Here is a 25,218-nt window from a genome sequence, read left to right as displayed (position 1 = left end):
ACTCTAAAGAGAAAGAAAAAAGAGTTGATAGTTGGAGTTAGACAGGAAAGCGCTAAACATGTTTGTATGACGAAGGGATAGAACTGGCTGAGTAGGAAATGTAGGACAGCGATGTAGGAGAGTACTGAAACAAAGGTGCACTACTGCTCCTGGAAAAACCTTTTTTTAAAAAAAAACAAGGTCATTAAAAATACTCAAATGTGCTTGGAGGCAAGCAAATGAAAAAGGAAAACATTTTTCAAGGACAGGTCAGATCGGACTAATAAATTCTGGGACAGGAATACACACTACCATAACCAAGAACACACAAGGGAAACTTGGCAGCTAGATAAAACCTCGGACCAACATACACTGTATTGTCTAGAATCAGCTCTTACTCATCATGAAGACATACGTAGTCATTATGGGCAGAGGAAAACACAACCTGAGAAACATGGAAAATACCCAAAACAGATAAAAGGCACAATTTGTAGAGGCCTGGTGAGCTAAGCATTATTTTCAACTGCACAAACACAGTTCTTCCCAAGGCTGGAGAAATGACAAAAGTTTTTAAATTCTATTCCTTTGCTTTTGGGAAATCTCCTGTATAAATAACTTAATGATTGATTTCATTGGTTCACTCATTCATTCAACAAATCCTGACTGAGGATTTATCATGTGCTAAGCACAAGCCCAGTCAGAGCACTGATTGTTAAGTGAAATAGGGGATGGGGGTTAATCTTTGAAAAAGTGCATTCAATTTACCTATGATCTTTGTAATAGAAAACACAAACTATAACCTGTCAGAAATCTTGGCTGGTGGAATATATAGAGGATACAGTGAAAAAACACTGCAGGTCACATTAGTTTTAAAAGCAGGACAGACATTGGCCCAAGGACTGAAGCATTTCTCTTTAGAAGGGATTCAATATGAACATAAAATATGTAGATTCCTTCCTCCTCCTTGAAGTTCAATTTCTAATTTCAGGATATGGAATAGGCAAAACATGGAAGAAATATCCAATTAATTTGTGGAGCTATAGACCTGTATTTTTTTTCTCTAACCTACTGACCATCTGTTCTTTAAGTTTCTTACCGGGATCATTCCATTCTCTAAATCATCTTCATTTCTTCTACATCTTTAGGGTTGCCTACATCTTTAGGGTTAGGAAACTCAAACAGCTACCTGAGGTAGAAACTTCCAGATTTGCTTTACAGACAGTAGCTAAGTTTCCTGCAAAAAGAAGAGGAAAGTTTAGTGTTCCTGTTTTAAGCTGTGTTAATTGATGGCTACAACTGGTATAGTGTGAGATAGAAGACTACATACAGTCTAGTCTGTTCCAGGCTCAAAAATATGTGTGGATAAACACAAATTCTCCTGAAGATCCAAAAGAAGGATGAGGGGAGAAGCCTACAGGAAGAGAATGAGTATTTAGGTTTCATCTTATACCAACTGCCTGTGTGCGTTTCGGCATCCATTTATTTATTTATTTTTGTCCTGAGAAGGCCTATTCAAATGACTAAGTTAACAATATCACACACAACATGTTAGCGTACAATGTACCCTGTAGGTGTAAAAATTCAGCTTTGTTTTGCCCTTGTTCTTGAACAAAAGCTTCTTCTTTGCTAGCCTCCCGAATGTTCCCAGCCATTATGTAGAAATACATTCATTTTAAAACAAAATTAATTATGTACCTTTTGAAAAAATTAAAAGAAAAACCATACACATAAACACACATATGCACAATGACGTTGACATTACCCTGTTCCTTCTCCAATGTGCCTCAGAGTTATAGCCAACACCTGTGGCCACACAAGGGGCAGATTTGGCAGCTGTAGAACCCAGATGTCAGACACTGGATTGTACATCCCTGGCAGCAGTCCTAAGTTGGAACCTGTCTCCTTAACTGACCTCTGAAATGCTCTGTTGTCTGACTCCCTTTCTGGCCTGGGTAGTGACTTGCAAGCTCTCTGTTGGGGCTGGGCAACTGACGGTTTGTTCTGGATGCAATTATCCTTTGCTTTAGCTTTGATTGTAAGACATTTATTTATTTATTTATTTTTTGTAAGGGTGAAAATTGGGATTGGGTAAATTCTTGACAAGGAATTATATTCAAGTTTCTTGCAAAGACTAAATAAGTTGTTTTTTGTTTTGATTGTGTCTTTCCCAAAGGAAACTGAATGAGATCCACTCATCAAATTTACCTTTTAGCATGCAGTGAGCTTTCGCTAATGAGAAGTAAAATTATGAGATTCTTGGGCACTTTTCCCCTCCAAAAGAAGATTGGTTTCCTTTTATTGCTGCTTCTTCTTTTCTTCTTCTTCTTCCTCTTCTTCTTCTTCCTCTTCCTCTTTTTCTCCTTCTCCTCCTTCTCCTTCTTCCTTCTTCCTTTCTTCTTCTTCCTCTTCTTTCTTCTTCTTTCTTCTTCCTCCTTCTCCTCCTCCTTCTTCTTCTTCCTCTTATTGCTTCCTTCTCCTTCTCCCTTTCTTTTTTTTTGGCAGGGTCTCACTCTGTCAACCAGGCTGGAGTGGCACAATCACGGCTCACTGTATCACTGCAGCCTCGACCTCCCCAGGCTCAGATGATCTCCAACCTCAGCCTCCAGAGTAGCTGGGATTGCAACTACTAAGCCCAGCTAACTTTTTTGTAGAGACGGGGTTTCACCATGCTGCCCAGGCTGACTTCTACTGCTTCTTAAAACTACCTCTTAATGTTGAAAATGAAATCCATCTTTCTGTAGAAGATTAAGGAGGTACAATTTTATTTTTGCTATTACTAAAAAAAAAAGTCCCACCTTTTATAGAGAAGAGCTCTTTGTATCATGAGTTGTCCTGATTATTTAAAGAGGAAATAATGACATTACAATCTCATTTCCATACCATTTGCTGAAGAATGACATTATTTATAAGATGCAACCATCTTTGGAATAAGGTAGGAAAAGGCCAGGTATCTATGAGGCCTCCACTTACAATGCAACACTGTTAGCCCTACAAAGGAAGGTCTGTGGTATATATAGTTATTTGTGGCAAGCTAAGGAGATACATGCCTGACATTAACAGGAAGATAAATTTTGAGGAAACCATAGAATATACTATCGTATCCAACATAAAATGGTATTCATCTGCACCATGTAAAATGTTCCAAATTTTATCGACTTTCATAAAAATGTAAATATGTCTCTTGGATAGCACTGATTAAGACTTGGAAAAAGATTGAAGATTCCTGAGTTCATACTAATATAAATAATTGATAAATAAATTGGGGAAAAGAGACAAATCTCTCATGCAGAAGAATTCCAAATAATTTATGTGATAGTTGCCTTTCAAGGAGGTGGAGTTTAATTACCCACTCGTTGAGTGTGGGCTGTGCTTTGTGATTTAATTCCAAAGAGTATAGAAAGGTTGGGGGGAATAACTTTTGCAGTGGAGAAACCTGAGAAGCACTACTTTGGCCAGGTATTCAAAGTCAGCATCATCAGTAATAAGTCATGTCTATAGCTTATACTACTCTCAATACGATATAATCTCACTGAAGGGGGTATCACCTTTTTAATATTTCTCCAAAAACCGATATCCCTAGTCTAACCATGTGAAAACATCAGATAAACCCCACTTGAGAAATATTCTACAAAATACTTAACCAGTACTCCTCAAAACTGTCAAGGTCATCAAAAATAAAAAGTCTGAGAAACTGTTGAAGCCAAGAGGTGCCTAAGGAGATATGACGACTAAATAAATGTAATGTGCTATCCCAGGTAGGCTGCTGAAGGAGAAAAAGGACATTAGAGGAAAACTATGAAATCTGAACGGGGTGTGCAGTGTAGTTAATTGCAATGTACCGGTGTTGATTCCTCGGTTGTGACAAATGTACTGCAGTTACGTGACATGTCAACAACAGGGGAAACTAAGTGAGGGGTATGTGGGAACTCTCTGTAGTACCTTCATAATTTTTCTGTGAATCTAAAACTATTCCAAAATAAAAAGTTTATTTAAATTTTTAAAAGACTGACATATTGTCACATCGACTGAAACAGAGTTCCCTGCGTCAATCAATACCTCTTTCTCTCTTTCCCACACACGCCTATCTGCCAAACCATATGGCAAAAAGAGTCCTTTTCCTGAAACATAAGAATACTTAATCCTTCAAGCCACTGTAGTATGAATGGAATTGGACTTATTCTGAAAGTTTTAGATTTCCCAATAATACCTAGGTCATGCCCTCAGTAATATGGGACAAATGCTCAAAAGAGAATGTCAATAAACCTGTATTTCCCAAAAACTTTAAAAGATAAACCATCCTTCAACTGCATTTCCAATAAACTTATATTTTGTGTGAGTTATTGACATAATTAATAAGATAACGCACTAATCTCTGAAAGAAACATATTCTTTGCTAGATTACTGAGGGCAGTGTTCACTTATTGATCAATTGTTACCATGGGAGGCACAGAGGTAGTCTGATGTACTACGGTTTCAGAACATGAGTGAGATTCTTTCCTTGCTTCTCCTTATCTGTCATTTAGAATTATGAGAAATGAAATCTCTGGGAATTTTAGAAGAATTTTTTCATACTGTTTTGAATTTACCATTTTTCTTTAAGAGAAGAAAAAAATAAGTGTTGACGTCAATGAATATTTACCTTAAAAAACTATTACGGATTTGATTTGCAATTGTTAATAAAAATTGTGGCTTTGTTAACATTTTAATGGTACAATTTTAAAAGTTCAGTTGATCAAAATTTAATTAGCCAGGATAATAAATTGGTCAGAATCGCCTCTCTCATTCTGTTTTTAGGAAAGAATGCAAATGTCTTTAAAGAAAGCTTGGGAAAAAAATACATGCAAGTTCTTGAATATATTTTAGGGCTAAAAATAAGATTCAAGGCTGGGCACAGTGGCTCATGCCTGTAATCCCAGCAATTTGGGAGGCCTAGGCGGGTGGATCATCTCAGGAGTTCGAGACCAGCCTAGTCAACATGGTGAAGCCCTGTATCTACTAAAAAAAAAAAAAAAAAAAATTAGGCATGGTGGCAGGCACCTGTAATCGCAGCTACTTGGGAGGCTGAGGCAAGAGAATCGCTTGAACCCAGGAGGAGGAGGTTGCAGTGAGCCGAGATCATGCCATTGCATTCCAGCCTGGGTGACAAGAGCAAAACTCTGTCACAAATAAATAAATAAGATTCAGTAAAATCACCTGCACATTCCATATCTATAGTACTTTGCAACAATAACATATATTAGGAAAAAGACTGTAATAACGAGAAAAAGAAAAAAATGTTCACTATGGAATTCTTAGTTAAGGCAGAACAGTCAACTAACATATTTTAGGAATATTTCTCATAGTAAGGTATTTAATATGGAAAAAAATAACTGGGAAGGAGGGGGATCTACAGTTAACGTAGGTAGCTGTTTTATTTATGTTACTCTTCAAGAAGTTCAATTAATATGTATTTTGCATTTCATTATAGTATTGTGTGTGTATGGTCAATAACGAGAATTATAACAATCCCTTTCCCAGAATACCGATGATGTGCAAGGCTTTAGGCTGCCAGGCATTTGACATACACCACCTATAACTTAACACAACGCTACAAGTTATGAACAATTAGTGTTTCACAATTGAGAGAACTGAGGGCACCAGAAGTTAGGGGACTGATTGAAAGCCCCACAGCTTATAAAGGAGGGAGCCATTACAAACTCTGTCTGGCTGCCTCAATTGCCTGAACTCTCTCCCACCATATCATACAGCTTTGTTATCATATATTATAATTACTAACACTATTAAAGTAGGCATTTATTTATCACTAAGTGATTTAAGTCATTTAGTCTTTCTAGGCTTCAATTTTATCTTGGGTAAAATGAAGTTGACGTATTGATTTCTAATGTTTCATAGAAATATTAATTTATATACAGAATAAAAAATTAAATGGTAATTTTCACAATATTTTTGTTTAAAGAAGAAGATCATTAACATTGGCCCTTACTAAATGTTGTGATGATGGTATCAATCTAGAAATGCTCATGTCATCTCTCTCAAATCCCTCCAGTCCTGTTAAGCCAGGACTAGGGATCTTACCATTTTTAATGTTATTCCTTAAAACTTACATGTAAGAGGAAATCGTATATTTTTCCCAGCACTATACAAACTATATACTTAAACTTTTTGGCTCCTAAAGAATTAACAACTTGCATTCAGATATAAATAATGCAATCAAACCCATTTTTCTGGATCTGAAAATAATCAAAAATTTTATTTTAATTCACATTTATTTAAATATAACATTTTTTATAGACACATGAAGGTACTTATGAACATTTATAACATGGTAGGCACAAATATAGATGAAATGTTTAGGTATTTTCGACAAAATTTCACACAAAATTAGACAAACTGACTATGTGCTTGCATTTAATTTCAAGGGTACATTAACACAGATATTTGAAAAGGATGTTCTTTTACAAAACTACTACAAAATGTTCACGTTTGCATCAGTAATAAGTCATATTTCCTAGACTGATGCTTTGTAAGAACTATGTAAAGATCTAATTTAATCATTAACACCATATGGTAACATTATATGTAAATGAAGCATATTTTTGTCAATAGAAATGTTCCTCTAACTTTTAAATAACATAGCATTTGTATTAAAACCATGCCACATTTATTAAACAAACATGCATAATACTTTAAAACTGGAATAATTCATGTACCTTTATGCACAGTGTTTAGTTTCACTATGGCACTCTATCTTTGTGAAAAAATATACTTAAAACTTGGCACAGAGTTAACAAATCATATTGCTGGTAATCAAAATAAATGTGATTTCAATTTCCCATGACATAGAAAATTCTCTATCACAATTTACCTCTTCCCTTTACAGTTTATTGACCAATGGCAGTTCTGTTTTCATTAAAGTAAGTAATGGATATTCAAGAACTAAAAGTCATATCTAGGTGTTCTGCCTATACTCTAATTGGAAATGAGTTGATTTCAGTTTTTCCAGCAGTAAAACATTTCCATCTCTATTGTGGCCAACAAATTTCTAAATAAGGGTGTTATCAGCAATAATATGTATCATCATGAGATGTTTTTCTTCAGGAGGCAGAGGGGTTGAAAGGAAATGTGGATCTCTTCATAAACTGGGAACATATGTGGTAAGGAGAGCAAATGGCAACCGAGGCAGAAGCAGGGAAAGTTCTTTGGAAAGCTGGTCAGAGAGCACACTGAAGTAGCAAAAAGGCAGAGAACAAAGGTGGGAACACAACGATTATTCACGATGGAAAGGGCTGCCATGGGTTTCAGAAAACCGAAATGGGCCACTCCAGAAAGAGCACGCAGAGCAGGTCTAGCATCCTTGTATCAGCAAACTAGCACTGCTGTTTAGGACAAGTTTTAAATTTCCACATCAATGCATCTGAAGAAATTAAGCTAACTGGCAACTTTTTTTCTGAATTCATTCATAAACACTGTGGAAGAAAAAAATGCAGGAATAACACCAATTCAACTTCCTACAAACCAGAGAGGAGACTTCACACCCACTTCTTGCTCAGACTTCGGAGCTGTAGTGACTGAAAAATGCCACAATTCTTTTTCACAGTTCTTCTAAGATAAATTTGAGGTGTTATATTTTGAGAGACCATCTGAAGGAATCGAGTCCTTTCCTAAAACCTTCATAGCCTAATTTGTATATTTATTATATGGGAGAAAGGAAGTAGAACTTAAGTTCAATTTGTATACAAATGTACCTTTTTCTTAAAAATAGAGTAGTGAACATAATGCTATTTTCTTTGCTTTATGATCCTTGCTGAGGACCTTAAACAGTGAAACGGCAAAGAACATCAAACAGGTTAGATAAAATAGGCGAACATATTTTAAAGCTGTTAAGGTGCAAACAGACATAAAGGTTATGAATCACAGAGCACTGAATTTTCAAGAGTGAAATCATACCAAAACCGTGATAAGTTTTCGCTGCCATCATAGGAGAGTAAGTGGTCGGGAAGGTCAGTGATGGTGCCCTGTACTGCCAGCACATGCGGGGCCAGGGTGAACGGCACATCGCTCAGGAGCTCGGCCATTAATGAGCTGTTCTCCAGAGTCTGGCCTGCCTTATTTTCCATCTCAGGGTCTGATACAGTCACACTGGATGAATTTTCTTTGTTGGTCTAAAAATACATACATTTAAAACATTTAGGCCTTGTGAACTTTGAGGTTGAATAACGGTAAATGTGGCATTAATACATCAAAATGATTGAGCAATGTGGGCTATATAAATATTCCCAGATTTGAACGCAGCTCTTTACTTTACTTTAGAATTACATTCATCCAAATCTCTGTTAGGCTTTAAAATGAATCCTAAACTTTAACTCAGACTGACCACCCACAGACCCCTTAAACACAAACTGGCCTTCTTGTTATTTCCCTTGCTCAGATAATGTCTGCAAATTCTGTCTCCGCTTTTCCAAATCCTATGTACGTTTTCAGGCTCTGCTAAATTCTCAGCTGCCCTATAAAATCTTGTATCAATGGAGTACAAAGTGATCTTGCCTATTTCAGAATGCTTATGGGGCAAATTGCCTAAGATGTTATTTGGTGTTGCCTATATGTGTCCTTGCAAATTGCTGTTCCATATGCAAATATATCTTATCTCCAACTAGACTATAGGGTCCTTGAAGGCAAGCAGTCTATCTGGCATATCTTTGTATTTTCAACCTTGCACACTTTACTATTTGACAGTAATATATATGTACTCATAATTTATCTCTAATGTATACCATGAGTACTGATTGTCTGATTGTCATTGGAACTAACCTGTTATGTCATAAAAGTTACGCAATTTTTTAAAAAAGGATATATCTTGTTCAATTTCTTTACAATTAATATGTCTTGCAAATCACCTAAATATCAATCAATAGAAGAATGGATAATAAACTGAAATTTATTTACAGCAATGAAGATGAATGGCCTGCCACTACAAGCACCTGGAACCTAACTCAAACCAGCCTGGGCAAAAAAATGACTCCCCCCTTGACCCTCAATCTCAGGCAGAATGAAACTCCCAAGTCTTTACAGAGGCCTACTAGCTCCTTCGCCATCTGGCTCCAGGTGTGCTTCTGCCCTCATCTCCAGCTCGTGTGCCCTGGCCTATTCCTCTTCAATCCCACTGTCTCCTTGCTAGTGCTCCTTGCAAGTGCTTGCTCGTGCACACCGAGCCTGCTTCTGCCTCAGGGCCTTTGCTTTCCATTCCCTCAGACCAGGACGCTCTTCTCCCAGACATACACAGGGCTACTTCCCTTATCTCCTTCCAAGCGCTAGCCCAGATGCCATCTCAATGAGGCCTTTTCTCACTTATATAAAACTTACTTTTACGTGGTTTTTGTTTGTTATTTTTTTGAGACAGAGTCTCGCTCTGTCACCCAGGCTGGGGCGCAGTGCGTGATCCTGGCTCACTGTATCCTCCCTGTCTCAGCCTCCCAAGTAGCTAGGACTATAGGAGCATGCCACCATGCTTGGCTAATTTTTGTATTTTTTTGTACAGACAGGATTTCACTATGTTGCCCAAGCTGGTTTTGAACTCCTGGACTCAAGCGATCTGCCTGCCTCCCAAAATGCTGGGATTACAGGCATGAGCCACTGCACCCAGCCAAGAAGCTTTTGTAGCTCATGTTCACTGCTGTATTCCACATGCCTAGATCAGTGCCTACTGCTCAATAAAGATTTATTGGGCTTTTTGTGGTTGGCAGGCTATTAATTACTGCCTCAATTTCACAACTTGTTATTGGTCTATTCAGGGATTCGACTTCTTCCTGCTTTAGTGTTGGAAGGGTGTATGTGTCCAGGAATTTATCCATTTCTTCTAGATTTTCTAGCTTATTTGCATAGAGGTGTTTATAGTATTCTCTGATGGTAGTTTGTATTTCTGTGGGATCAGTGGTGATATCCTCTTTATCATTTTTTATTGTGTCTATTTGATTCTTCTCTCTTTTCATCTTTACTAGTCTGGTTAATGGTCCATCTATTTTGTTAATCTTTCAAAAAACCAGCTCCTGGATTCATTGATTTTTTTGAAGGGTTTTTCATGTCTCTATCTCCTTCGCTTCTGCTCTGATCTTAGTTATTTCTTGCCTTCTGCTAGCTTATGAATTTGTTTGCTCTTGCTTCTCTAGTTCTTTTAATTGTTATGTTAGATGTCGATTTTAGATCTTTCCTGCTTTCTCCCGTGGGCATTTAGTGCTATAAATTTCCCTCTACACACTGCTTTAGCTGTGTCCCAGAGATTCTGGTACGTTGTGTCTTTGGTTATAAATGCTAATGGTTATAAATGCTGACAAATTCTTAGACTGTAAGTCTAAAGGAGAAGAATAATTTTCTGGGCCGGGCACGGTGGCTCACGCCTGTAATCCCAGCACTTTGGGAGGTTAAGGTGGGCAGATCACCTGAGGTCGGGAGTTCGAGACCAGCCTGACCAACATGGAGAAACCCCGTCTGTACTAAAAATACAAAATACTTCATAAGGGTGTAACTTGCTAAATTTTTACAAACTGAATACACATGAGCAACCAGCGCCCAGATCAGGAAATAGAAAAGACCAGCCCCCAGAAGCCCTCCTGGTGTTCTCTTGCAGTCACAATCAACCCCCGTCCTGTCAATCACTATCCTTATTTCTAACAACACAGAATTGGTTTTACCTGGTTTTGTTTTTTAATTAATTAATTTATTTATGTATTATTTTGAGACAGAGTTTTGCTCTTGTCACCCAGGCTGGAATGTCCAGCTACTTTTTGTATTTTTAGTAGAAACAGGGTTTCACCATGTTGGCTAGGCTGGTCTCGAACTCTTGAGCTCAGGTGATCCACCCTCCTCAGCCTCCCAAAGTGCTGGGATTACAGGCGTGAGCCACTGTGCCCGGCCTGATTTTGTATTTTAAATGAATGCAATCATACAGTATGAACTCTTGCTTCTGGCTTCTTTTACTCAACATTATGTGGATGAGATTCATCTAAATTGTTGCATGTTAGATGAAAAAAATCTTGAAGAACATATTGTTGGAAAGGTGATATATTCTGACTGATGTTTTAAAATAATCACCCTGGTTGCTGGGTTGACAGCAGATAGTAGAGGTGGGGTGGCCGGGGAAAGAAGTGGGAAGATAGCTGGGAATGACAGATTACTTATGAAGTCGATTAGAGCAGGGATAGCAAAGGTGAGATAAAATGGTTGGATTTTGGATAGACTTTAAGGGTAAAAGGAACACAATTTGCTGATGGAATGGACGGTGGGGATATGAGAACAAGAGCACAGTTAAGGATAAAGCCAAAGCTCTTGGCCTGAGCGATGAGACACATGGAATCACCAATTATAGGGATGGGAAAGAGTACCAGAGAGCAGGAATGGGTGGGAAGATCAAGAGTTGGGTTTTGGAAGTTTCAGTGCCTAGCGGACATCAGGTGGAGCTGTTAGTAGGCAGGGGGATATAATTTGAATCTGCAGCTGGACGAGATCTGGTGGAGAAAGTGGAGAGAAAATTAGAACAGACAGTATTTTCTAGGTGTTACGATGTAAATGAAGAAACATATATGGGCCAGTAGTTAAAAAGGGATGTGTAGTCAAGAAAAGTTTCTTTTGATTTTTGTTTTTCAAGTTGGGAGAAATAATGACAATTTATAAGCTAATAAGAAACAGCTCATAAGAAAGGAAAAAATCCATAGAGAATTTATAGAGAAGGAACTCGTCACAAAGCATCTCCAATACCTAAAACAGAGGCCATCAAGAAATATTTTTTAGTGGATGACCTCGAATTAGTAAAGTTAAAAAGCACATGCCTATAAGAGTGGTCTTATAATTTCATGTGAAAATAACACCAGAGTACTGTTTTAGGACTGCAACTAACAAATGTAATCATACTCTATTATGATAAAGCTTGTTATAAAGATGTACATCTGCAGTGGGCAGATCCTGTCTCCTGAAATCTAATTGGGACTCACCATGCTAATTATCCTCGGGTCAGCCAAGAGTGCAGGTATGAGTAATGACACCACCATTCTATTCTCTTTAAAGGGCTTCTCTATACACTGGTTTATATAGAAAAACTGAAAGGGAAGCAACGTTTGGGTGCACCATAAAACCTCAAGATTCCATATGCACCGGGGCTTTGATCACCTGTGAGCAGGAGAACAAAGTGGTTAGGAGCACAGATTCCAGAACCACGCTGCTTGGTATAAATCCCAGGTCTCTTGTTTATTAATAAGCAAATGGCCTTGGGCAAAATATTTAACTTCTCCGTGCCTCAGTTTCCTTAGCTGTATTATGAGATTGATAACAGTTAGCTATTTCATAGGATTGTTAAATGCAAGGATTAAATAAAGTTATATTTATAAGTAAGCAGAACAGTGCTCGGCACAGGTTAAAGTAAGTGAATAAATAACATTTTAGAAATGCCAGATCCCATTTGGGTTTAGATGAAGTTTAGAATCCATTCATCTCTTTTGACACTCACTGGTAGTTCAAATAATACCTTTCCCTCTCCTTTTATTTCTTGCTTTCTCTCTTAATCTCATGTGTAAATGTTCCCTAGATCTGGTAGTCTCATCCCACTCAAACTTTCTTTTCTTTTTTGGTTGTGTATAGAATGTTCTAGAGTTTCATTAGCGAAATCATCTCCTTTTTTAAACAAAAGCATTCCTGACATCCCACATTCTGCACTAAAGTGGAGGTATAGGCATACATTCTTTTATTGCACTTTGCTTTACGGTACTTCATAGATACTCCATTTTTTACAAATTGAAGGTTTGTGGCAACCCTGCATCAAGTAAGTCTACTGGAGTCATTTATCCAGCAGCATGTGCTCACTTTGTGTGTCTATGTCACATTATTATAATTCCCACAATATTTCAAATTTTTTCGTTATTCTATCTGCTTTGGTGAGGCATGATCAGTGATCTTTGATGCTATTATTGTATTTGTTTTGCAGTGCCACGAACCATGCCCATGTAAGATGACAAATTTAACTGATAAATGTTGTGTGTGTTCTGATTGTTCCACCAACTAGTTGGCCATTCCCCTATCTGCCTCTCCTCAGACTTCCCTGAGACAGCTCAGTATACTTTTAATTAAGACATGTACATTTGTTTAGACATACTGCTATTGCACACTTAATAGATGACAATATAGTGTAAGCATAACTTTTATATGTAGTGGGAAACAAAAAAATTTATGTGGCTCACTTTAATGCAATTTTCACTTTACTGCAGTGATGTAGAACTGAACCCGAAATATCTTCGAGGTATGCCTGTACATTACCTGTAGCATTTTGCTTTCTAAACACACAACTTCTTTTTTTTTTTATTTTTTATTTTTTATTTTTTTATGGCTGAGTAGAGCAGACTTTACTGATGGGACATGAAGGCCCCCTCCTCTTTCGGAGGTCTGCATGGAACTGCGGAGGGGAGATTCTTGATGTGGTGGGAGACTGAGTGTGGCAAGGACTCCCCAGCAGCTGAGGTTCTCTCTCTTCCTCTTGAAACACGCAGTGCCTAAGGCTTAACTCTCCAGCAGCAATATTTATTCCTCATATTTTTATTAATCCTCTTTTTTTTTTTTGACAATTCTCTGTTATTTGTGAGAACGTAATTCCTTGAGGACAAGAATGTATCAAACTATATCTAGTACAGTAAAAAAATTGGGACATGCTTTCTCATTCAAGTTATCCTGATAAAACTGCCATCTGACCTGAAGGGGGTTGCTTTACCCATTTGAGCCTCAACCCACTATTATGTAAAATGAGTGAAGAGGGACAAAAGATGAAGATGATGAAGACAACTAGGATGACAATGATGACAAGACAGCAACTAGCATATACGGAACACTGTGTCAGGCTGTATCTAAGCTGTTTAAATGTATTTGCTCATTTAAGTCTTACAACAGCCTTGTAAGGGTATGTGCTCCTATTAGTCCCGTATTAAAGACAAGAGGAAACTGAGGCACAGAGAGGTTAAGGAAGTTGTCCCAGATTACACAGCTTGTCAGTGGTGAAACTGATAATCAAACCCAATGACCATTAAAGCTCTATATTCCAAGATCCTGCACATTTCAGACATGCTTTGGATAGAATGATTGACTGAATGAACAGTGCTTCAACAATTTTAGGGTACAGCATTAGAAAATATAACAGTTATTAAAGTAGCATATCTTGGCTTAATTTAGGAAGAAAAAAGATGCTAATATTTTGTACCTTAAAGAAGAAAGGACTGAGAAAATCATTAAGGTGACAGATCTTACAGACAGGCTGAAGAAGGATGGAAAAGCAACTCTAGTTTAAGATATATTTATCCCTGGAAATGAATCTACCAGCAGTCTGGATAAGACCATGGGAAAAACACCGTGGACAGTGAAAAATTGTCTGTGAGTTGATAATTATTGAAACAGACATGAAGGTAAGTGGGAATGCACTATAGTATTCTTTCCACCTTTGTATAAGCTTGAAAATTTTTCATAATTAAGTTTTTAAAAATTAGTTTAACAATACGATGGGCAAAGTGTTCCACCAAATGCCTCCTAGGATGATGTGAATTTCAGCTGTGCTGTAAGTATTACTCCAGCATCTATCTCTTAACTGTTGGCTATAGTGCAACATTACAGTCTCCAAGGAGGCTGCCTGCCCTCTTGGCAGCAGGGTGAGTGCCATGATGCAGCTGCTGTTGGCATGCTGAGAGCTGGAAGGGGAGAAATATAAGCCAAAACAAGAGTAAGTCACAAAGAAAATGTGAGTCAAAATTCAAGGACCCTACAGCCTATAAACCTGATCACTAAGTCTGGCAGCCAATGGAAGCAGTGGTGGGGGCTGGGGGTTTAAACAGGTGCATGAGTTCCCCTCCAAAAAAGCAGCTTTCTCTTAGACACAAAGTCTTGTGATTTTTTTCATTTGCATAATAAAATGGGTCTTTAATGGGAAGAATTAGTATGTTAACCACAATAGAGCAAGAAGAAAAGACTCAATTAACCTTTTGGTTAATAGCCAAATTTCAGAAAATTAATTCAAATACTAAGTTCATAAAGCGTATTTGTTATTTTTGTGATGAATCCTGTTCACAGAAATGCTATCATAATGTTTCTGAGTATAGTTTCTTCATAAACCTAGCTTTAATACTTCTTTTTCAAATTATTAGCGGTTGCCCTTACCTAGTTTAAATATGAGCATACCGTGTCAGATTTTTTTAATCTTACAAAGAAAGTTAATATTCTTATTTATATCATTACAACAAATAAAGTTTGCTGTTATAAGCTGTTTTCATATGTTTGTATAAAAACTATTTCTTGTTCATCAGTTAACCTGTTAAAAAATTGACTGGCCAAATTTATTTTCATTCCTTACATTCTATTATCTTTATTTCAAGTAATTCAAAGAGGTTTACAGGCACTGTTCCTCCCTTTCTTGCAGAGGGGTGTAAAAATTCATGAGGTTCAATCTTAAAAATCTTCTCAGAGCTTAGGAAAAAACACACTCCAAGAATACAAGGCATATAACACTTTTCAGCAAAGGGTTGGAAAAATGAAGTCACTTCCCCAGAGCAACAGAAGGTTAGTGGCATCCTTGTGAACCTCGCTCTTGGGTGTTTGAAAGCAAGGAAATTCAGGTTTAAGAACAGACAACTACATTTTTCCTGGCACAAAATTCCAGTAACCACCATGAAGTCTATTAGGAGGCGCCAACTTTGCAGACGCACTAACAATTGGAGACCTCATCTACTTAGCTATATCCAACTAAATTATGAATATTTTATTAATATGAAAGTCATCTATATTTGGCTTCTTTTAAAACCTCCTGCTTTTTTCTGCAACCTATGCCTCAGACAGAGATAAAGTAGTATGCTATAAAAGCAAAATATTGATGCATTAAAATTTAGAAACCAGCCTTAACTAAAACAGCAATAGAACCTATTAAAAGAACATGAAACCAGGTATAAAACACTCTTCCAACACATTCAATTTACATGCAAAGAAGGTAGCTGTATCAAGCATATTTCTAGAAAACAAGTTACAAAAAGAAGAGGTAATATCAAGCTCTGGCTGTCTATGCCTTTAAATTCTAATGTCTATAAATAAAAGACGTGCTTCTTTGAACAATAGCCTGAACAAGCAACACTGTCACTTTATCTCCCTAGATAACTATCCATTCTATTCTGGCTTCAGCTGGTATCTGCTTGCATTACTGTGGGGTGAGGTGGAGGGGCAAATCTGAGTTAGAAGCATCAGGGGACAGAGGTTAGGAGAAGGTGATATAAGCTATGGCACAGTTAAGGCAGTACTCAAGCTTTTTATTTTTTATAAGAAGCTGGTCACTAATAAATGTCTGTCTAGCTATTAAATGCCTGAGAGTTGGTGTCCTGCACCTATGTAATTCCTAAGCAATAGTCTCCTTTCACTTGGGAGAAATCATATTGCAACGGCAAAGATTGTTTCCTCTTTTTCTCCAAGTTCCCAGTACCCAGAACAGCACCTATATATACAAAGTGCTCATTAAATGTTTTTGAATGGCACTAGATCTGGTCCCCTTCTTTTTCAGATACTCTAGGCACTCAGACTTGATTTTAAAATTGAAAGGTTAGGTCAAAGAAAGAAATAAAAACCCAGGATATGTTGTCACTGATACAGAAATTAGGGGGGAGAAGCTGAATTCACAGAAGATTTCTATCTCCATGTGGCCTAGGTGTTAGTTTTGCCTAGAAGTGAGGGCTCCAGTTCAAGAACGCTGTATTTCAGTAGCAAACTAAGAGGCTAGGTTAGAAGGCAGATTATTTTCTCTGTTCCTTTCCTAGTCTCTGACATCATTTTGGTTTACCTTCTGGCTCATGATTTTTTTTTTTTCAGTATTTTTTCCATTTTCTCTTCTTTCTCTTTCCTTCAATATTTCTACCTGCTTGTGCTCCGTGGTTCTCCAATCTTTCTTTTAAAAAGAAAAAAATGTTCTCCCGACTTCCTCTTTTCAGAACTCCAGCTGAACGTACATACAAGTGCAGAAGGGGAAGTAAGCAGGCTGTTACTTGCTTCTGTAATCTGTTCCATGTATTCTTGGAAAAGTGGTTTGTCTGAAGCTGGAAAAATCTTCTCTACTAGCCAACTAGAGTGGGGGCGCGGTGGAAAGAGGAAAGAGAAGCACTTCAGGAAAGGAACCAGGCAAGAAATAGTGCGTTAAATGCAGGATCCTATTTAATACTGGTTTTGAAAACACAAAAGGCTGTTTCAGTGATTTTTTAAAAATTGTTTTAAAGTTGCTTTATAGAAATTCATAAACTCCAACCGTAAGCTGTCCAGGCAGCTCATATTTTCCCAGTAGGCCTTCCCGCCTCATGATTCTCAGCACACATTTCCCCTTTCTCTTCTCTCCTCTAGCCCTATATCACCAGCTTCCTCCTCGCTGCTGGCAGGTGGGCCAGCCTCCTACTTCACAGAGAAAACAGCAACCACCGAGTGAGGATCTCCTCTATCTGCTCTACCCCCCAACAAATGTATCTGCATTTGTATCCAACCCCTTCCCCAGAGCTTCCAGGGCTGCAGATCCACCCAGTGCAAACTCTTCAAGGACATGGCTTCATCAATTAGGGGGAGTCTCCTAATTGCTAATCTTTCCTAGAAGCAATTAACCATTTTTTAAAATTCGACTCAACTCTATATTGCCTATTGGAATATCACCTTCCTAACTCCCATACTATCTTTCTATGTTTTTTTCACAGCGAGGCTGAGACCATTGTTGGCACACACTGTCTGCCATGCCTCCCTCACCCACTGCAACCTGCCTCCTGCCTGCACCCCTCTACTGAGTCTGCTTTCACAAAGGTTACTAATAATCACTCTCTTGCTAAATTCAGAAAATGTTTGGAAGTGCTAATCTGAAATGACCACTTTGTAGCACTTACTGCTACTGACTCTGAATTTTTAGTTCTTGGCTTCGGTACACTTGTTAGTTTTGTTTTCTACATGTCTAGCTGCTTATTCTTTTTGTCTATTTCTCAAGTGATGGTGTTCTTTAGGGTTCCATTTCTGTTCCTTTACTCTTCCTAATCTCAACACACTTCTTCGGATGAGCTTATCTGATATGGAGCATGCCTACTGCTCCACTCTTCCACTCCCCCAAAAGTAATATGTATGTAGATACATGCACATATACCAATCTCAAACTCGGATTTCTCTCTAGAGTTCCTGATCCATATGTTCAACTCCTATTATACATTTCCTTTTGCATATTCCACAGGACATCTTACACTCAACATGTTTTAAACCTGGCTCTTAGCTTAGTCCCTTCCTTACCTTAACCTTACCTCAAACTTAATGCTCTTCCAATCTTCCAATATTTTCTCTATCAGTGAAGAGAACCTATATAGTTGCCCAGCACAGAAACCTGTATCATCTTTGACGTTTCCCTCCCTCTCACTTCCTCCATGCAATAAATCACTGAGTCCTATTGACTTTTCTGCTTTTAATATCTCCCCTAATTCATCCATTTCTCTTCAGGTTCATGTCATTCTCTTCATTCAGGATACTAAGGTCTTCTTCCTGGAATGCTGCAAGAGTTTCCCATGTACAGCTTTACTACCCTACACTACACTCTCCCTACCACTTGTAGCATATAAAACACATTCTCTTCCTTGCTTAACATTCCTCAATGCCTTTGAAAAAAGACCAAACTCCTTATCACGACACACAAGCATGACCTGGCCTTGCTTACCCCTCCAATTTCTTGTACTCTTATTCCTAAACTCTTTACTGCATCCATACCAAGCTATCCGCTGTTAACCAAACCTTTTCATGGTGCCTACTGCTTTCCACTCCCTCAAAAGTAGACATGTATGTAGATTCATGCATGTGTGTGTACACACACTTTCTCTTTAGTTCTGAGCCTTGGCTCATTGAATTACTTAAACCTAAGTTAAGACATCCTCTCTTCTACTCCCTTCATCTTGCCTATTTCAATTTGCCCTTCCAGGTCACACAAGCCTCTTTTAGAAAGACTTCCCCAACTAACTCCCCAAACGTGGGCCAAGTAACCATCCCTGTGTTCCCTTAACAGCTTATGCATACTTCCCTCACAGCACACATCACACTCGACTAGAATTCCCTGTCACCCCCACAAACCTACGGGCTGTTCAAAGCCAGGGACTACAGCTTTCATTCCCATTTCCTTCCCAGCCAGCACAATGTGGGGCTCATAACAGATAATCAATACATGTTTACTGAATGACTGAATAATCTAAATCTCTTCATAAATTTTATATTCACATTTCTTCTAAATAAGTTAGGAATTAGGATGTTGGCCCTCAATTCCTGCATTTGTTTCTTTGTTTTTCTAAGATTTTACCAAACCCATTTTGCCCGTTATCACCAACATGATAAACTATGGATGGTATTAAATGCAGAGATAAACTGGTTTGTGACTCCAGCTACATCCATTTCCTCAAGCATGAGATAAGTTATTCCTTGACTTGCCAAATGAACAGCTTTACAAATACATCTCCTAAAGGAAGTTTAATGGGGTCCTGCCACAATGTAGATGAAATTGTTGGGGAAAGATTTTTCCTACAGACCCATCTTCTCACTGAGCTAGCCTCATCTACTCCAAAGTCCCCTCATCTACTCCAAAGTCCCCTTAACCAACCTGCCTTACACAACTCTTCTCTCCCAGGAATCAGTGTTTCTCTCCAGCTACATGGTATAATCTGGAGGGGCTGTGGTGTAGCCTATGCTTGGGGACAATGGACATGAACAGCAACAGGGTGGCAGGACTAGGTAGGTACTGAAAAGGAAGGAGAGCCTCAGAGATGAGAGCTGCAAAGGAGGGTAGGCAAGGGGATGGGCAGGTGAATTCCATTTATTTAATTGCTGTTCACCTCTGTTAGAGGAAAAGCCTCATATCTACTTCTCTGGTTTCCATAAACAGGGATTTTTTTCTGTAAGGAACTCTGGCCTTCTCCTCCACCCCTTATTCCTCCCCAAGGAGGTAGGCTGAGTTACCTAGTTGGTGGGTCTATATTGTTTTTAGTCACAACACTTATGACACTAAACACATGGGCTTTTTCCTCATACCAACCAATTCTCCAACTCCCCGAATAACAACCGAGTGTTCTACAATTCAATTCAATTCCAACGCTAACTTCCTGGAGGTAGCCCAAACCCCACAGGTTCAGGGATCAGTCTCACAAGGCTGCGCCCATTTCAGATGCCAATCACAAATTCAGGTCACAGGTACTTTTGACTGACGAGCTATAAAGTCAAGGATTCCCACAACCCCCTCCTCCAGGTTGATAATTTGCTAGAGCAGCTTACAAAACCCAGAAAAACAATTTTCTTCACACTATTGGCTTATTACAGAGGATACCCTCATGAACAGTCAAACAGAAGAGATGCATAGGGCAAGATCAGGGGAAGGAGTTTGGGGCTCCCACACCCCTTCCGGGACCTCGCCCTTCTAGCACCTCAATGTGTTCACCAATCCAGAAACTCTTGGAACCCACTATTTAGAGGTTTTTATGGAGGTTTTATTACATAGGCATAAAAATCATTGGCCACTGGTGATTAACTCAATCTCTAGCTCTTCTTCCTTCCCAGAGGTTAAGGAGTGGGTCTGATGGTTCCAACCCTCTAATTACATGGTTGGTTCCTCTGGCAAATGGTCCTTCATTCTGATGCCATCTAGAAACCACCAAGAGCCATCTCATTAGTACAGTGGGTCCTCAGATAACATTGTTTTTATTCAATGTTACAACATGGATAAGAAAAAAAACTCAATTCTTCAAGACGCCACTGTGTGTGTGTGTGTGTGTGTGTGTGTGTGTGTGTGTGTGTGTGTGTGTAGTTTTCATGTTCTCCTCATGTCTAGCTGGGTTTTCTTCAGGTACCCTGGTTTCCTCACACATCCCCAAGCTGTGCATGTTAGAAGAACTGGCGTGTCTGCGTTGTCCCCATCTGCTTGAGTGTGGGTGTGTATGAGTGTGCCCTGTGATGGGATGGTGCCCTGTCCAGCTCTGGGTACCCCCTCACACCCTGAGCTGCTGGGATATGCTCTGGCAAGTCCAAATTCAAATAACTGGGTGAGTAATGTTCTTACTTGTCTTTATTAATATTTCTAAATGTAGAGCTCACATTTATTTCAGTGTTTACTATTAGAAGTGTTTTGATCTTTATTTAGAAGTTTGGTGATTTTTTGTGACCACAAATATACCATAGCAACTTAACTCTTATTTCTATCAATCAACCTACAGTAAAACTGGTTTTGTTATATGTTGTTTTGCTTAAAGTTGTAGCTTCCAAGAACCTATCGAGGATGTCAATAGAGGGTTTACTGCATAAAATCGGGCATGGTTGAAAGGAACTTGTTATGGATAACAAAAGATGCTCCTCTCACCCCTATTACTCAGGAAATTCAAAGTGTTCTAGAAGCTCAGTGTCAGGAACCAGAGACAAAGACCAGATATATATTTCTTCTTATCACAGTGGATGACAGGCGTAAGCCTGTATTTCTAGGTGGGCTAAGCTAAACCCTAATATCCTAAGGCCCAGGGAGAGTCTCTTTCTCCTTATCTCTCTACTTGGACTGGGGAAAAAAAGTGGCCAAAGGGAGAGTCTGTTGTGGTGCCTTAAACTTCCCCACAGATGTAGACATGGGACAGTGGGAGTGCACAAGTCCATCTTAGCTATTACACTATCCACCCACAGCTTTATGTATCTTGTTTCTCTGTTTGGTGGCTCTTTGATCTTATTTCTCCATTGGCTCTTGATGCAAGAAGGAAAAAGAGTGCCCTTTATTAGTACTTAAGACCCCCACCAACTTCTACTGCCCATTTACATAAAAAAGGCACATTAACCACACCAAAACAAAACAAAACACAAAACAAAAACCGAAGTAAAGCAAATGTTAAATGATCTGGAAATTTAAAATATAACAAACTAAGGGTTTAAAACATGTGCATGCCCCATAGTACTATACGAAACAACATACTGGTACAATTTTATCAAAGTTTCATGATAACTCAGTTAGATCTAAGAGATCAGAAAAGTTCTCATCAGAACCTTGGAAAAATAACAAATAACATTTGTATGGTGCTCTATACAGTTTTCAAAGTAGTTTCACATGTATTTAATTTGAACCTCACAACTCACTAAATTTGACAGGGAAGCTATTATTTCATTCTAATCTTCTGAGGCTCAGAGGTTAGTGACTATCACACCACCACTAACTGGCAGAGACTTACACTTTGGGTCTTCTGACTTAAAATCCAATGCTCCCTGTCCCATACTCCAAGTCAATGACAGTCACATATAGACTATAAAACAAGTATGTATCCCCTGTGTCCAGATCGTAACAATGTCGATGCCACCTACATAAGCAATCTCTAACAAGGTAATCCAACTTGGCCAAGCTGATTTCTTTTTTTTTACATTAAATCAGCAATATTTCAATTTTATGTACTATAGTATAATTTCACAAAAAAATGTTTTACTGAAGTTTACCTAGACATTATCATAATTTTCTTTATGAGTCTAAGCAAACTGAATTGGTTAAAGCCTTCCGGTAAATTTCCATCAAGCGAAATAATTTTAAAGGTTACTTGTCTGTAGTTTTTTTGTTTTTTGTTTTGTTTTTAGGTCTCAAGTTTAGCAATTTCTTTATGGACAAGTGTCATCTGGATTGGAAAGTGAAGGTCCAAAAATAAAGACTGTGCCGCTATAGAAACTGAGTTTAAACTAACAGTTAAACTAAGCATCTTATTACTAGGTTAAATCTACCAAGCTGGTTACAACATGTAGTAGCTTAGAAAACTACAGCATCTAACCACAACCAAGGCTGCAAAACAGTTAAGACTTTTGTGCACGAATTCTTCAAGCTTATTATGTATACCACAGGTCTGAAGAACTTGATATCCCTTGTTAGTCACACTGGATTCTATTAATACTTAACTTCCCATTTATATAGCCTTATTTATTGTAAGTATCTATTCAACTTCTTCAGAATGTAATGCAACAAGATCATATTTTTTCCAGATAATTTAAAAGGAAAACAATGAGAAATGATCTTGCCCATCTCCTCAGCATTGCTGAACATTAATTTCACTGAAGGGAATAATACTCATTTCAGTGAAACATAAAGTACTTCAATCATCTACATATACAATAAGAAAGAAAATGGAACACTTTCCATTTTAAACCTGGTAAGAAAATATAAATATATTATACTAATTTGTTTTTATATAAATAAATTGACATCACTTATATGATATCGACTGAATGCAAATAAATGGCATAAGATACAGTCAAAAATACAAGAAGAAAGTAAATCTAAAAATATTAAGTACCAGCTGCATGTTGGATTTTTTGGTGTGTGCTTTGATAGAATGAACATTTGCCATTCTCATAACCTAAGTATGATATATATTTTTAAGAACAAATAATTAAATGTTATGACAAACAACAATGAATACAGTTATTTCATGTTAAGGCTGTTGTCTGAGCACAAAAACTAATCTGTTCTGCTGCTCTTAATATATGCTGAAAATGTATGCTTTGCCACTGTTTCTACAATTATTATACAAAAACATAAATATCTAATACTTAGTATGTACTTAGAATTGCTCATGTTCACCCTATGTATAAACATCTCTCTAATCTCAAAAAGTAAATAATTCTTCAAGAAATGGGAAAATATTGGAGAAGAAAAGCCTTATTTTCTGTGTAATTTGAATTTGATATATAGAGTAATCCACATACTTGGAAACACTATAGTTGGTGAATACACAACTGTGTGTTTTCATATACAGATGAAAGTAAGGAAATGTGTCATACCAAACTGAGTACAGAAATTATGAGGGTAGACTAATTAAATTCCAATGGGCGTATGAGTGATAGTGTTACTCACACTTGCTGCACCTAACCCAGAACTCCACTAGAAAAACAATGTTTGGCAAACTGAAGAGGTGAGCAGAAAGCTGTGTCACTTGACCTTGGCTCTCACTTGCAAAAGGTTATATTTCAAAATAGAAGATGGGGTTGGAAAAGTAAACACAGCTGTGTTTTCTCCACCCCAGTATGAGGATGAAGTGGCCATTCAGAATGGCAGGAGGCTGAGTCCCTTCTTGGTGCACACTCAGAGCTATTATTTCATTTCATGGCTAACTCAGGACAGTAGTTTGTTATTGTGGTAAAATATACAAAAATAAAATTTACCATCTTAACCATTTTTAAGTGTACAATTCAGTGGCCTAAGTAAATTCACAGTGTTGTGCAACCATCACTACTCTCCATCTCTAGAATCCTAAACAGAAACTCTATACCCATTAAACAACTCCCCATCCCTCCTCTCCCCAAGCCCTGGGTAAGCTTTTTGTAAACACTTTTTGTCTCTATATATTTGCCTATTATAGGCACCTTATATAAATGGAACCATACAATGTATATCCTTTTGTGTCTGGTCATTTTACTTAATAAAATGTTTTCAAGGTCCATATATGTTGTAGCATATATCAGAATTTCATTCCTTTTTAAGGCTGAATAAGATTTCATTGTATGTATATGCCACATTTTGTTTATTCATTTATCTACTAATGGACATTTGGTTGTTTCCATCTTTTGTCTAATGTAGGACAATTATTATTATTATTATTTTTTTTGTTATTTTTTTTTTTTTTGAGATGGAGTCTCGCTTTGTCGCCCAGGCTGGAGTGCAGTGGTGCAATCTTGGCTCACTGCAAGCTCCGCCTCCTGGGTTCGCGCCATTCTCCTGCCTCAGCCTCCCGAGTAACTGGGACTACAGGTGCCCGCCACCATGCCTGCTAATTTTTTTTTTTTTTTTTTTTTTGTATTTTTAGTAGACACAGGGTTTCACAGTGTTAGCCAGGATGGTCTCTATCTCCTGACCCCGTGATCCACCTGCCTCGGCCTCCCAAAGTGCTGAGATTACAAGCATAAGCCACCACGCTCGGCCAGGACAATATTTTTAAGTAAAAGGTGGAAAAGTTGAGAAACAAGTCTAACAGATTCATTAGGATTTGATGAATATAGGAATACAGAATATTTAAGTAGATGGAAGACAATTAGCAAGGGCCCGAAGTGAGAGAAACACAAACCATGGTTCCTGCTTATTTTGAATTATAAACTTATTTGGGTAAGATAAATTTGTACATTTTTATAATACACTCTTTGCTTGTCTTTAAAAATCATAATTAAAGTAAATCTGTTCAATTTAATATTTTATAAATT

The 25,218-nt window shown here is 37.9% G+C and overlaps 1 protein-coding gene and 1 long non-coding RNA gene across 5 annotated transcripts in view, besides 1 other annotated feature; one reads left to right on the top strand and one right to left on the bottom strand.

The window, feature by feature from the left end:
• Positions 1 to 14,754, top strand: part of LOC124901586 (uncharacterized) — a 52,554-nt gene extending 37,800 nt beyond the window's left edge. For both annotated transcript variants that reach the window (XR_007060206.1, XR_007060205.1), the window contains one exon: positions 14,179 to 14,754. This is a non-coding gene — a long non-coding RNA (uncharacterized LOC124901586). The remainder of the gene's footprint in view (positions 1 to 14,178) is intronic.
• The window catches only part of UMAD1 (UBAP1-MVB12-associated (UMA) domain containing 1), a 238,472-nt gene continuing 219,452 nt past the window's right edge, over positions 6,199 to 25,218 (bottom strand). For all 3 annotated transcript variants that reach the window (NM_001302350.2, NM_001302348.2, NM_001302349.2), the window contains one exon: positions 6,199 to 8,141. In NM_001302350.2, coding sequence (NP_001289279.1) covers positions 7,884 to 8,141 — 258 coding nt within the window. In that variant the 3' untranslated portion in view covers positions 6,199 to 7,883. The remainder of the gene's footprint in view (positions 8,142 to 25,218) is intronic.
• Positions 24,843 to 25,012: an enhancer, noted in NCBI's record as "experimental_100048 CRE fragment used in MPRA reporter constructs". NCBI's record gives its function as "activates a minimal promoter by MPRAs in K562 erythroleukemia cells, with activity observed for the non-introgressed 7:7900126 variant allele {active_cell/tissue: K562}" and the evidence as "EXISTENCE:reporter gene assay evidence [ECO:0000049][PMID:34662402]".

The sequence above is a fragment of the Homo sapiens genome, chromosome 7, assembly GCF_000001405.40.
Source record: "Homo sapiens chromosome 7, GRCh38.p14 Primary Assembly".
NCBI classification, from domain to species: Eukaryota; Metazoa; Chordata; class Mammalia; order Primates; family Hominidae; genus Homo; species Homo sapiens.
The sequence above is the reverse complement of the archived record's forward strand: the minus strand, read 5'-3'. Positions and strand labels throughout refer to the sequence as shown.